Raw genomic sequence first — 13,000 nt, forward strand, 5'->3', positions numbered from 1 at the left:
TTCCTTCAGCAATTGCTGGGAAGGGATTACTTTTTGCACAATTCTGTCTGGAGCCCCTTGCAGGCAGGAGCTTGTGGACAAAAGCTTCAGCCTTTGCGGGCCTGGCATTCCTCATACTATTTGGTCACCTGCTTTTTTCACTTTGTGTCCTGAACATTTTTCTGTATTCTTTTTTTTTTTTTTTTCCACCTCCTAGGTTCAAGCGATTCTCGTGCCTCAGGCTCCCGAGTAGCCAGGATTACAGGCATGTGCCACCACGCCCGGCTAATTTTTGTATTTTTAGTAGAGACGGGGTTTCACCATGTTGGCCAGGCTGGTCTCGAACTCCTGACCTCAGGTGAGCTGCCTGCCTCAGCCTCCCAAAGTGCTGGGATTACAGCCACCGCGCCCAGCCCATTTTTAACTTTTTTGCTGGTATAGATGACCCTGGGATGAACACCTTATGTCAGTCTTGGTGCCCACTTCTGATGATTTTCTTCTGCTCAGTTCCTAGAAGGGGAGTGCTGGGTCAAGGCTTTTATGAGCACTTCTGATCCGTTCTTGCTCTCAAAGCTTTATTGAGATATAATTTACAAACCATAAAATTCGCTTGTGTAAAGCGTATAATTCATTGGTTTTTAGTATATTTACAGAGTTGTGCAACCCTCACCATAATCTAATTTTAGAACATTTTCGTCATCAAAAAAGGAAACCTTGTACCCATGAACAGTCACTCCCCATACCTCCCTCCCCAGCCCCTGGCAACCACTCATCTCTTTTCTGTCTCCAGGGATTTACCTATTCTGGACATTTCACATATGTGGAATCAGACTATGCAGCCTTTTGTGTCTGGCTTCCTTCACTTAGCATCATGTTTTCCAGGTTCACCGAAGTTACAGCATGTATTTTGTTCCTTTTTATGGCTGAAAAATACTCCATTGTATGGACTTGCCACATTTTGCTTATTTGTTTATCACTTAATAGACATCAGGTTATCTCCACTTTCTGGCTGTTATGAATAATGCTGCTATGAACATTCGTGGACAAGTTTTTGTGTGGATCTGTGTTTTCATTTCTCTTGGGATACATCTAGGAGTGGAATTGCTGGGGCATACAGTAATTCTATGTTTAATTACATTGGGCTGGGCACGGTGGCTAACGCCAGTAATCCCAGCACTTTGGGGGGCTAAGGCAGGTGGATCACTTGATGTCAGGAGTTTGAGACCAGCCTGGCCAACATGGTGAAACCCTGTCTCTACTAAAAATCAAAAATTAGCTGGGCGTGGTGGTGGATACCTTTAATCCCAGTTACTCAGGAGGCTGAGGCAGAAGAATCACTTGAACCCAGGAGGTGGAGGCTGCAGCGAGCCAAGATCATGCCATTGCACTCCAGCCTGGGAAACAGAGAGAGACTCTGACTCAGAAAAAAAAATGACTATATATAAAATAAATATGACTGCCAACCTGTTTTCTGAAGCAACTGTACCATTTTATATTCCCACCATCATTGCGTGAGAGGACTCCAGTTTCTCCATGTCCTTGCCAATATTTGTTATTGTCTGTCTTCTTGATTGTAGCCATCCCAGCCATCTTAAAGGGTGTGAAGTAGTTTCTCAGTGTGGTGTTTTTTTTGTTTGTTTGTTTTAAACGGGGTCTTGTTCTGTCACCCAGCCTGGAGTGCAGTGCAGTGGAGTGCAGAGGCAGCTCACTGCAGCCTCAAACTCCTGGGCTCAAGTGATCCTCCCACCTCAGCCTCTTGAGTAGCTAGGATTACAGGCACACACCACCACACTCAGCTAATTTTTGTTTTTCACTACACTACGTGATGTGGTTTTTTGTTTTGTTTTGTTTTGTTTTTGTTTTTTGAAGAGCTGGGGTTTCACCATATTTCCCAGGCTGGTCTCGAACACCTGGATTCAAGCAGTCCTCTCACCTCAGCCTCCCAAAATGCTGGGATTACAGGTGTGAGCTACCGGGTTTAGCCTCAGTGTGGTTTTGATATGCATTTCCCCAATGGAAAATGGTGTTGAGCATCTTTTCATCTGCCTAATAGCCATTTCTTATTCTTTTGATACATTATTTTTGAGTAGCCTTCCAGAAAGGTCATACGCATATATCTTCTTGTCACCAGTGGTGCCAGCACTGGGTATTATTTTAAAAACCTTTGCCACCTTCTGGATGAAAAGTGGTTATCTTATCCTAAGTGTGACCATTTCTCTTTGTTAAAAGTTGAGATATGATTCATATACCATAAAATTCACTTGTTTAAATTGTACAATGCATTGGCTTTTAGTATATTTAAACAATTGTGCAATGATCACCACTATCTAATCCAGAACATTTCTATCACCCTAGAAAAAAACCTTGGAGCAGTCAGTCCCCAAACTCCCTGCCTCCAGCCCGTGGCAACCACTGATCTTTCTGTCCCCGTGGATTTCGACTGTTTCTCTTCTGTTCCTTGGTCATACACATTTCTTGTGATTTATCAGGCTATTTACTCAGCATGTTTGTCTCCTGCACTGCTTGCCTTTTTCTTGATTTGTGAACACTACACGGCACGGATATTAGCTCTGTCCCATGTTGCAAATATTTCCCTGGTTTCCGATTTGACTTTTCAATTTTGTTCCTGCATTTCTTGACCTATGGGGGTTTGCAAGTTCCAGGCAGTAAAATCCAGTGATCTTCGCCTTTATGGTTTTATTCTTTGCTTTTTTACCTTAGAAAGGCCTTTCCCCACCCAGGATCAGATAAATAATTATTTAGGTTTTATTCTAGTTCTGTCTTGGTTTCCTTTTTCACTTTTAATTATTTAATCCAGCTGGCTTTTGTTATGGGTGGCTGGTGTGATTTCCTGTTGTTTTGTGATGTCAGTGAGAGGCTGTGTGTCAAGGCCTGTGACATGGTAAACGTTCAGTAAACAGGAGCTAAAATGATAGTAATGAGAGTCCGTGCCGGGTGGAGCTCAGAAGGACATGGGATTCCCGGTGCTGTGCCGTGGCTGGAGGAGGACCTGGCCTGGCTGTGCCAGTTGGCTGGGAGCCCCTCCACCCCAGAAGCCCTTGCTCTCACCTCTTCTTCTGAATCATCGTTCTTCGAAGGCAGGCAGTAGCTACCGTTGTCTGGGGCTTTGGGGATCTTGGTGGTGATGAGTCCCCTCTCCTCTGGTGCACTCTCCCCACCCGAGACGGGCGACAGAGGTTTTTTGTTGTTTCTTAACCACATCTTTTTCCACCCACACCCGGTGCAGAGCAGATGCTTGGCCGGGGCTTCCCCGAGCTGGTCCTGGCTTTGTGGCAGGGGGATGGGCCGTCGGTGCCCCATTCAAGCCTGGGGACCTGGCCCCACTGGTGTGTGCTACAGTAGACCCAGCCCTGGGGCCCCATGATACCCTCGGTGATCGTCACAGATGCGGGGCCTGGCTACAGTCCTCACTGGTGTTTTTTTTGTTTTTGAGAGGGCATCTTGAAGTAGCCCAAGCTGGAGTGCAGTAGCACGATCTCGGCTCACTGCAACCTCCGCCTCCCAGGTTCAGGTGATTCTCGTGCCTCAGCCTCCTGAGTAGCTGGGACTACACATGCACCACCACGCCTGGCTAATTTTTGAATTTTTAGTAGAGGCAGGGTTTCACCATGTTGGCCAGGCTGGTCTCGAACTCCTGACCTCAAGTGATCCGCCCATCTTGACCTCCCAAAGTGCTCGTTACAGGCGTGAACAACCCCCACCCACTGCAGGGAGCCAGGCTTGCCCCCTCCCTGCCAAGGGAGCTGCTTGCTCTCCCTTCTGTCTGGAGGCCAGCACAGCCTGGCACTCGTGGTTTGGGGCGTCCATGGCCTTGTGGTGGCGAGGCGCAGAAGGCGTCACCTGAAAAAGGTGTGGCCAAGGGCAGGGGTGCTGGGCTTAGCCAGGCTGGCCACAGTGGGGGCAGGAAGGATTCCTATGGGGACAGCTGGGAGCAGGATGTGGTCGTGCGAGGCGTGGGCTGACGGCAGCTGGCATGCAGCAGGGGAGGTGTGCTGGGACCAGGCCTGGAGTGGGGTCTGGTGGCCCTGCCGTGTATGGAGCTGAGTGCCGCCCAGAGATGCCATCTTGTCCTCAGAAGTGGCTCAGGCCTGCTGGGGACAGGGCAGGTGGATGGAAGCTGCTGCATGCCCTGTGCCATGTGCTGGTCCGCTGGCTGTCACTGCAGCGCAGCTCCCGGTGCCTGACAGTTGTTTGTCCTTATTTGGCACTTGAGAGCCCAGCGGTTTGGCCAGAATGGTGCCCTGTGCGGAGGGCACAGCTTGAGTGAAGGTGTGGAGGGAAAAGGCCCTGGGGGTGTGGCTCCCCTCCTTCCATCCTGCTCCTTGCAAGGCCCATCCCAGGACATTCCTCCTAGCCAGGTGGGCTGGATGGGGCCTGGACTTCCTGTCCATGTTTTGGGATGAGAGCGCTGGGGAAGGTGCCCACTGCGGGGTAGGGAGTGTAGGGCTTTCCAGGCATCATCCCTCATAAGCCACTGTCCCCAGGCCTTGCGCATAGCCCCACCATAGCCGACTCGAGAGTAGAAGCGTCCCACCATCCTCACAGCAGGCTGCAGGGGCCATGTGTAACTGGCCCCTCCACCCTTGGCCACCTGGTGGAGTCGGCACCCATATCTGAGGAGGGGACCATGTTGCTGCTGGGGACTCTGGGCTGGTCTGGAAGCAGGTGTGGTGGGGGCTGTCTTTCCCTGTGTGAAGGTCTTCCTCTGGGTGTCTGTCGCTGTAGGGAGGCCACTCTAGCATCTGAAAGGGGCTCTGTGTCCTTGCCATCATGATTCTGTCTTGGGGGTGGTTGCTGTCTCTCTGAGAGGGGGCTTTGTGTCTGTGTCCCTGTGATTCTCTGACATGCAGGAGGACCATGATGGGAACTGAGGGGAATTCACTCTGGGTGGGGTTTTAGACAGGTCCCCAAGTCCTGTCTGTCCCAGCATCTCTGGCTAATCACTTCCCCCGCCCCCCTCCCGCCACACACATACACGGGAAAAGCAGGCTGGTGTGTGTCCTGTTGCCCACACCACACTCAGTCACTCAGTGTGAGCTGGGGTGCCACCTGCCTGGAGGGGGGATCTGACTCTGAACAGGGATTCTGTATTTGGGGGTGTCACACTCACCATGTCTGTCTCTGCCTCTACCATCTGACTGGGAGAATTCCTCTCAGGGTTGGGGTGGGCACCAAGCCTTGCTCCCAGTAGGGGCCCAGCCCTGGGTTGGGCCCAGAGGAGGTGCTTGGAGGGTTTACTGGGTGACGGATGGATGAGCACTTGGGTAGGGGCCTGGGACCCCCAAAGCCCTCAGATGTCTGGGAAATAGGGGGATGTTCTGGCTGGGGAGGTTTCTGTTTCTGGCATTGGGGGGCTCTTGCCAGGAAAGGGCTTTTCTGGCAGCCATGTGGCTTTTCTGGAAGCTTCTCCCTTCTCTTTCCTCCTCCCCTGTGGGGAAAGGGCACCTGAGGCAGCAGGGTGCAGACCAAGGGGGGATCTGGCCCATAATGAACAGGGTGGTGGGGGTCTAGGAGCCGCTGCCCTGTGGACTGGGCCCACTGGGCATTCAGGGCAGCAGGCAGGCTCACTTGCAGAAGTCCAAGGAGTGGGTTCCATTATCATCCCCATTTTACAGGTGAGGAAACTGAAGCACAGCAGGCCAAAGTAATTTGCTCAGGGCCCTGCATTTGAAGGGTCTGTGAAGGAGGGGCCAGGCTTGGGGTCCTGGTGGGGGGCATAGCAGAGAAGCGCCCTGTGGCCTGTAGTTCCCACACTGATTCAGTCGCTGGAACTGGCTCATTGCCTTCAGTTTGCCCCCCAAGGAGCTTGGGAAAAGGGGGCTGAGATCACCCATCACACCCCATACCTCCCTCTGCTTCCCAGGCACTTGAGAGCTTGGGGGTCCCAGGTACCTACCCAAGTGCTCATCCATCCATCCACCCGGCAAACCCTCCAAGTACCTCCTCTGGGCCTGCCCCAGGGCTGGGCCTCAGCTGGCAGCAAGGTTTGGTGCCCACCCCAACCCCAAGAGGAACTCTCCCAGTCAGATGGTGGAGGCAGTTGCGTCATCAGGAAACCATGGCCGGTTCGATAAGCTCAGTGCTGAGGGAGAGGCACAGGAATTGCACTAATCATGACTCAGTGGTCAGAGAAGGCTCCCTGGAGGAGAGGAGGTTTTCTCTGCTGGGACATGCAGTTTGGGTCAGGCAGGGCATCACAAATGCAGGGGCTGGGTGGCAGGGGAAGGTGTGGGCGGGAAGGCGGCTGGAGGGAGACCAGGTGTTGGGGGTGCTGGGGCTGGGGGTGGGCAGATGAGGATTGGAGCCCTGGCTCAACTTCGCTATTCCCCATGGCTGGGGCACTGTGTGATTTTGCCTCCCAGAGTCTGTAGCATGGGGGCTCCTGATGGTGCCCTTGCGGGGAGGTCAGGGGGCTGACACACCTGAGCCTGCCTTTCAGCCTGCCCTCTTCCCTGGCCAGCTGGAGGGGCCTTGGGAGGCCCACCCCAGCCCTGAGAGCACTGGCTTGTAGCATCCCTATCACTCATGGTCTTCACTGGGGTGGGGGATGGCAGTAGGGGCAATCATCCCCTATGCCCCCCGTTACCCAGCACAAAGGATGCTTAGCCAGCAAAAGGCTTATGATGAATGTTGAGCACCCACCACCTAGCAGGCACTGGCTCGCGGCCAAGGACACCACGTGAGCAAAGCCAAGTCACGGCAGAGACCTGCATCAAGGAATGCGCAAGACCAGCTCATAGGACAACAGGCAGGGAAGGAAGTGAAGGGGCTTTGCGGCTCAGGATTTAGATACTGTGGTCAGGGAGGGCCTCCCTGAGGAGATGACACTTTGAAAAGCAGTCGTATTTGTGAAGCTGTGGGGGGAGCTGCCTCTCTGAGGGCACAGGCCCCGAGTGCACCTGGCACACTGAAGAAGAGTGGAGGCCAGTGTGGCTGGATCAGAGCGAGGGAGGGAGGCCCAAGAGGCTGAGGAGGTAACAAGGGTCTCTCAGATGAGGACCACAGGGGAGTTTTTGTTTTTGTTTGTTTGTTTGTTTGAGACAGTCTTGCTCTGTTGCCCAGGCTGCAGTGCAGTGCAGTGGCGCAATCTTGGCTTACTGCAGCCTCTGCCTCCCGGGTTCAAGTGATTCTCCTGCGTCAGCCTCCCAAGTAGCTGGGACTACAGGTACCTGCCACCATGCCCGACTAATTTTTGTATTTTTGTATTTTTTTGTGTGAGATGGAGTTTCGCTTTTGTTGCCCAGGCTGGAGTGCAGTGGCACGATCTTGGCTCACCACAACCTCTGCCTCCTGGGTTCAAGCGATTCTCCTGCCTCAGCCTCCCGAGCAGCTGGGATTATAGGCATGTGTCATCACACCTGGCTAATTTTGTATTTTTAGTAGAGACAGAGTTTCTCCATGTTGGTCAGGCTGGTCTCTAACTCCTGACCTCAGGTGATCTGCCTTGCCTCGGCCTCCCAACGTGCTGGGATTACAGGTGTGAGCCACCGCACCTGGCCTAATTTTTGTATTTTTAATAGAGACAGGGTTTCACCATATTGGCCAGGCTGGTCTTGAACTCCTGACCTTGTGATCTGCCCGCCTCGGCCTCCCAAAGTGCTGGGATTACAGGCGTGAGCCACTGCGCCCAGCCGGGAGTTTCTTTTGAGATGAGATTTTGCTCTGTTGTCGAGGCTGGAGTGCAGTGGCACCATCATAGTTCACGGCAGCCTCAACCTCCCTGCTTCAGCCTCCTGTAGCTGCAGGGGAGTTTTGAGCAGAGGAGGGTAGGCTGGAGCAGCATCGTGGGGGTGGAAATAGCTAATTCTGGACAGACTTGGGCGTAGTCTGATGGGACAGATGGCAGTTTTTGATGCTGCCCAACTCCCAGAGGGCCCAGGTGTCACACTGTTTTCCAGCCTGGCTCCTCTCTCCTCACTGGGGGCTCCTTGTGAATACCCCTTTCCCCCAGCAGTTGTCTGGGACTGGAATCCTGGCTGCTCAGCTCCCAGCATCCACCACTTTCTGCCTTTGAGGGATGGGCCGTGCCTCCCCTCCTGCACATCTTCTGTGGCTCCCTGGCATCTGGGGGGAAGATGGGGGACAGAGGCCTCCCTGCCCAGCTCTCTTGACCTCCCTCAGACCCCAGCCAGCTCAGACGCCGGTGGGTTTCAGATCCACCCAGGTCCCATGTTAAAATGCAGATTCCAAACTCCCTTCCAGATGTCCTGTGCCAGAAGGTCATAGAAGCACCCTGTGCTGTGTTCCCTCCCCCTTGGAGGTCTCTTGAGCCTTCTCATCTGTGAAGTAGGTGAAGGCACAGGAGGGCCACGTGAGGCTCACACACACTGCTCCTTGCACGGAGCTGGCCCGGGGCAGGGTGGTGAGGCTTCTCCTTCATAAATCTCACTGTCCATGATGCCCAGGATTGTCCTTTGCTCTGGAACCATGACGTCCTACTTGGTTTCGTCGTGTCCTTGATGGTGTGACGCCCATTTCTGTGACTTCCTCTTGGAAAACTTTTTGAAAAATGTTGCCGGCCTGTGAATTCCACAATCTGGAAACTGCTGGTGGGCCACCCAGGCTCCAATGCCTGGCACACAGCAGATGCTCACTAAAGGGTGGTGTGGGGTCTGTGAGCGTCATTTCCAGCCACAGTCAAGCCCCTGTTGTCTTCTAGCCTGGGGCTGTGCCTTCTGCCCTCTGGGTGTTGGCTCTTGCTATTCCCTTAACCTCCAGTGCCTTTTTCTCCACCATCCCCACTTCGGAGAATATTCAGCAAACGCTACTGCTCCTTTCTCTGTGCTGGGCCAAGACCGAAAGATGGAAAAGGAAGAGGGAGGCCTTCTTGAGCCTCTGGTGCATGGGAGCAGGGGAGTGACAACTCAGGAGGGCTGCCCAGGGAGGGGCCTTCTTGCTCCCAAGTCTCTCTTAAGGCTGAGCTCCTAAGGCCCTGTGCTCCTCCCTGCCTTACCATTCCCCTGAGATCCTTCCATACCCTCTGGGAGCTCTGTTGCACACACTATGCTCATATTCTCAGGGAAGGGTAGTGGCATTATTATCCCACCTTAGAAAATGCAGACTCTTGCTTGAGCCCAGGAGGTCAAGGCTGCAGTGAGCTAGTTTATACTCTATCCTGGGCAACAGAGAGGGACCCTGCCTCAAAAACAAAATACACACATACACACACGTGGAGACTCATTTTGGGAGGCCGAGGCAGAAGGATCACTTGAGCCAGGAGTTTGAGACCAGCCTGGACAACATAGCGAGATCCTATCTCTATCTCTACAAAAAAATAATCAGCCACATGTGGTGGCATGTGTCTGTAATCCCAGCTACCTGGGAGGCCAAGGCAGGAGGCTCACTTGAGCCCCCAGGAGTTTGAGGCTGCAGTGAGCCAGCCTGGGCCACAGAGCAAGACCCTATCTCTTAAAAAAAAAAAAAAAAAATTGGAAACTGAGGCTAGGAGAGGTGAGTCACTTACCTATGGAAGAGAAGGCAGAGTTGGGACTCAAGCACAGGACTAAGTGTCCCAAACCTCAGGGTGGTGGAGTTGCTGCATGGTTCTGTAGCCCTGAGGGATTTCTGGGCAGGATACTGGATGGCTTTTAGCAACTAGGCTCAGTCTTGATGCTGCCCACCCCAGAGAATGGCTGAGACGCACCACGTTTAAGGAGAGTTTGCGAGGTGAGGACCTTCCTCACCTCAATCCCATATTACCTTGGGATGGTAATAAGGTCTATGAAATAGGTCAAAGTCTGGGTAATGCATGGGTTTAATAGGTTTCTCTGCTGCAGGACTTCTCAGAGTCTTTAATGGAGCTAAGCAGCAGCATTCTCTTTCCACAAATGACTGTCCTCTCTCGGAGAATCCTTTGCATTGGCTGCCAGGAAGCTGAGACAAATCTGTGGCAAGAGGGACTCTTGTCTGTGTTGTAGCAGCTGTCTCCCAGCTCTTTCTGGGTGTCTCTAACCTGACTAAAATCATTTTTGGAAGAAGGCAAGGAATTTTTTTTTTTTTAAGACAGGGTCTCACTCTGTCGACCAGTCTAGAGTACAGTGGTGTGATCTCAGCTCACTGCAACCTCTGTCTCCCAGGTTCAAGTGATTCTCCTGCCTCAGCTTCCCAAGTAGGTTAACTTTTTGATACTAGACAGTAAGCTTGGATTAAGTATTTTCCATAATAATGCTCATTCATCCATCCCGGCAGCATCCACTTCAGGTTCTGGGCTGGGGTGAGGGATCAGCCATCCAGGACAGGATCTGGAATTTGCTCTGCGCCTTTTCAGACCCCCTCCCTCTCCTCCTCCAGTAAGAAGGTCAACAGGACCTGCTTACGGGCCCCCTATTACTGAAAGCAAACTGAACCTCCAGTTAGTGTCCTGCCCAAGGTTTCAAAGGTAAGTAAGTGGTAGAGCTAGGGCTCTTCTAACCACCTGCAGAGCTAGGCCCAGGCTGCCAGATGCCTCCTTGAGGGCATAGGTGTGGCAGAGGCGTGGCTGGTGCTGGAGGGTCGACTGAGGCCTGTCCCACTGCTGCTGTACACCGATGAATGTGGGCTCAAAGGCTCTGGGGAAGGTAAGACCACCAGGGAGCTAGTGTGGCCTGGGGGTTCCCGGGGGTGGGCGGTCTCTCCCCAAGGCTGGTCTGGGCCAAGCCCTTGCTGCTGGGGTGTGTCAGATGCTGCCCTGTGTCCTGCCCTCCAGCGTCCCAGGAGGAGGGGGACAGCCAGCAGGCCTGCTCCTGTTAAGAGCTTCCCCACCTTAGAAAAAGCTCAAGCTGATTCCCACAGCCTTGAAGCCCCATGGTGGCTTCTGGGGGCTGCTGTGGCAGGCTCACCTGTGCCTCTTCCTGCTCTCTCACCAGGGGAGGCCATGCCATCAGCCTTGCTCTCCACGTAGGTGTGGTCACGCCACCAGAGCTCTGGCCTTTGACTGGTGTGTCCAGCCCTGCCCTGCCCCGACTTGCCTGTCTCTGCTGGATGCCTGAGGGCAAAGCCAGTAACAGACCCCACTCAAGCTGGTTATGAGGACCTGGCAGGGTGGGGTGTGGCCCAGTACCTCGGAAGACTCTAGAAGGACCATCCTGGCCCTATAAATGTTTGTGCCAAGACAGGTCCCCTGTCCCTCAGCACACAGAAGGGGCAGTAGGTAGCAAGACAGTTTCCAGGTAACAGCATGAGGGCAAGTGAGGCCTAGAGAGGAAGGGTCTGTTGCCTCCAGCCCGTCACATTCCCTCCAGGCGGGCTGAACAGCCAGGTGGGATAAAGAGGGATCCTCAGGTAGGCGGGAGTCAGGGAGAGCTGCGTGACCCCACGAGGCTGGTGTTTCATCTTCACTTCTCAGATGACGGGACTGTGGCTCAGAGACCTTTGCAGGGGGACTGATCACAGCACAGGGCCATTTGAAGGGAGCCTGGAACTGCATTTCCATGTGGACCCTGGGTGGATCTGGAACCAGGCTGGCTTTCCTAGCTCCCCCGCCCTTTGGCTCCCTTATGTTCTTAGCCTTCTTTTCACAACAAACTCAGAAGCAGCCAAGTAGTTGGTTGTGTTGTCTACAGTTGCACTGAAGCACGTTTTATTTCGGCTAAGTGACAGTCCTTTGTTGTCCCTGTCTTGTAATTAGTTAGGGTAGTATGTTGGTTATATTACGTGGAATTTATTGCAGGATGGTAAGGGAGCATGTGACAAAATGGGGCAATAGTTCTGTAAGGCTGAGAGAAGCTGGGGGTGTACCCAGTGGCTAGGCTACTCAGAGGGGACTGTCATGCTGTCAGTAGTGTAGTGGGAGCCAAGCAGGCTTTACTCACCGGCCTGTTAACAGCTGTGCGAGTCATGCCTTTCGCTTGTGTTAGCTCACCTTGTGAAAAAATGAGCTGAATTACAGATGACAACTAAGGCATGGAGAGCCGAACCCTTTGTCCAGGGTTGTATAGGAAGTGGCAGGGTCAGGGCTGAATCTTAAAACCTAGAGGGTAGGGCCCGGCGTGGTGGCTCATGCCTAAAATCCCAGCACTTTGGGAGGCCAAGGCAGGCGGATCACCTGATGTCAGAAGTTCGAGACCAACCTGGCCAACCAACATGGTGAAACCCCAGCTCTACTAAAAATACAAAAATTAGCTGGGTGTGGTGGCAGGTGCCTGTAATCCCAGCTACTGCGGAAGCTGAGGCAGGAGAATCGCTTGAACTCAGGAGGTGGAGGTTGCAGTGAGCCGAGATTGCGCCACTGCACTCCAGCATGGGCAACAGAGTGAGAATCTGTCTCAAAAAACAAAAACAAAAACAAAAAACCCTAGAGGATAAAAGAACTATAACATCTGGGATAAAGTTAGCTGTTGAAATAAATACAAGTCCTACCGTTGGGGTAGTGTCAGAGCTGGCCTACGTCTTTGACTTTGAGATTCCTAGCAGCCAGAGCAAAGAAAGAAATAGATTATTCCCACTGGAGCCACAGTGGCCATAACAAACAGAAGCCATCTGTTTAGATGCTGGGAATGGAGAAGACTTGCTCCCCAGAAATAGACGCTGCAGGATGTGGTGGGTGACAGTCTACTGTTCAAACCACAAATACCTGAAATGATCTGGCCACTTTGATCACCCAACCACAGTAGAGCCTAAGCAGGTCCAGGGAGCAGCTGTTGCTGGCCTGGCTTGACTTTTGAGGGAGGTGGAATAGCGGGCATGTGAGAGGAGGGAACCTAAAGCCCCCACAGCTGCTGACACAGCCCCCAGGTTTGAGCTTGTCTCCCCTCTCACCCATCCCCCCATATAGCTTAATCTGATGGGCATCTGGTGGTCCTTCCCTGCAGTGGCCAGAGCCTGAGCTGTCCAGGCTGAGGTTTCGACTGAAGCAGGGGTTGTCCTGCGCCCATGTGCCCACACGCTGCAACCTGGCTGGAGCCTCTGGCATAGGACACCCATACCACCAGGTAGCTGTGGCGGACCCCGGCTCTGATACTTGGCAGGCTTGGGTTGAGATTGTGGCTCTAGGCCTGGGCGGCTCTCAAGGGCTGCTGTGGGG

The 13,000-nt window shown here is 53.1% G+C and overlaps 1 protein-coding gene and 1 long non-coding RNA gene across 11 annotated transcripts in view, besides 8 other annotated features; one reads left to right on the top strand and one right to left on the bottom strand.

The window, feature by feature from the left end:
• Positions 1 to 13,000, top strand: part of SH2B3 (SH2B adaptor protein 3) — a 46,894-nt gene that overhangs the window by 27,221 nt on the left and 6,673 nt on the right. For 6 of the 10 annotated variants that reach the window (XM_011537720.4, XM_047428025.1, XM_011537719.3 and 3 more), the window contains exon 3: positions 12,789 to 12,908. The exons of 3 other annotated variants lie outside the window; for them this stretch is intronic. In XM_011537720.4, the coding sequence (XP_011536022.1) occupies positions 12,789 to 12,908 (120 nt within the window). Of the gene's footprint in view, positions 1 to 2,911; positions 3,078 to 12,788; positions 12,909 to 13,000 lie in introns of those variants that run through there. One more of the 10 variants, NM_001291424.1, reaches the window with a different exon arrangement.
• Positions 534 to 12,795, bottom strand: LOC124903019 (uncharacterized). The gene is made up of 2 exons (XR_007063462.1): positions 5,998 to 12,795; positions 534 to 5,134 (listed from the first exon to the last, which is right to left on the bottom strand). It is a non-coding gene; the product is annotated as an uncharacterized LOC124903019 (long non-coding RNA).
• Positions 3,015 to 3,104: an enhancer, noted in NCBI's record as "active region_7033". NCBI's record gives its function as "activates an Ori minimal core promoter by ATAC-STARR-seq in GM12878 lymphoblastoid cells {active_cell/tissue: GM12878}" and the evidence as "EXISTENCE:reporter gene assay evidence [ECO:0000049][PMID:35858748]".
• Positions 3,165 to 3,294: an enhancer, noted in NCBI's record as "active region_7034". NCBI's record gives its function as "activates an Ori minimal core promoter by ATAC-STARR-seq in GM12878 lymphoblastoid cells {active_cell/tissue: GM12878}" and the evidence as "EXISTENCE:reporter gene assay evidence [ECO:0000049][PMID:35858748]".
• Positions 3,805 to 4,384: an enhancer, noted in NCBI's record as "H3K27ac-H3K4me1 hESC enhancer chr12:111873559-111874138 (GRCh37/hg19 assembly coordinates)". NCBI's record gives its function as "activates a minimal SCP1, AML or CMV promoter by ChIP-STARR-seq in naive H9 embryonic stem cells {active_cell/tissue: H9 hESC(naive)}" and the evidence as "EXISTENCE:reporter gene assay evidence [ECO:0000049][PMID:30033119]".
• Positions 4,385 to 4,964: an enhancer, noted in NCBI's record as "H3K27ac-H3K4me1 hESC enhancer chr12:111874139-111874718 (GRCh37/hg19 assembly coordinates)". NCBI's record gives its function as "activates a minimal SCP1, AML or CMV promoter by ChIP-STARR-seq in naive H9 embryonic stem cells {active_cell/tissue: H9 hESC(naive)}" and the evidence as "EXISTENCE:reporter gene assay evidence [ECO:0000049][PMID:30033119]".
• Positions 6,668 to 7,181: an enhancer, noted in NCBI's record as "H3K4me1 hESC enhancer chr12:111876422-111876935 (GRCh37/hg19 assembly coordinates)". NCBI's record gives its function as "activates a minimal SCP1, AML or CMV promoter by ChIP-STARR-seq in primed H9 embryonic stem cells {active_cell/tissue: H9 hESC(primed)}" and the evidence as "EXISTENCE:reporter gene assay evidence [ECO:0000049][PMID:30033119]".
• Positions 8,194 to 8,738: an enhancer, noted in NCBI's record as "H3K27ac-H3K4me1 hESC enhancer chr12:111877948-111878492 (GRCh37/hg19 assembly coordinates)". NCBI's record gives its function as "activates a minimal SCP1, AML or CMV promoter by ChIP-STARR-seq in naive H9 embryonic stem cells {active_cell/tissue: H9 hESC(naive)}" and the evidence as "EXISTENCE:reporter gene assay evidence [ECO:0000049][PMID:30033119]".
• Positions 10,693 to 10,879: a silencer, noted in NCBI's record as "fragment chr12:111880447-111880633 (GRCh37/hg19 assembly coordinates)". NCBI's record gives its function as "represses an EF-1alpha promoter that drives an FKBP-Casp9 reporter gene in an ReSE screen in K562 erythroleukemia cells {active_cell/tissue: K562}" and the evidence as "EXISTENCE:reporter gene assay evidence [ECO:0000049][PMID:32094911]".
• Positions 12,315 to 12,434: an enhancer, noted in NCBI's record as "active region_7035". NCBI's record gives its function as "activates an Ori minimal core promoter by ATAC-STARR-seq in GM12878 lymphoblastoid cells {active_cell/tissue: GM12878}" and the evidence as "EXISTENCE:reporter gene assay evidence [ECO:0000049][PMID:35858748]".

This window comes from Homo sapiens, chromosome 12, assembly GCF_000001405.40.
Source record: "Homo sapiens chromosome 12, GRCh38.p14 Primary Assembly".
Classification (NCBI taxonomy): domain Eukaryota; kingdom Metazoa; phylum Chordata; class Mammalia; order Primates; family Hominidae; genus Homo; species Homo sapiens.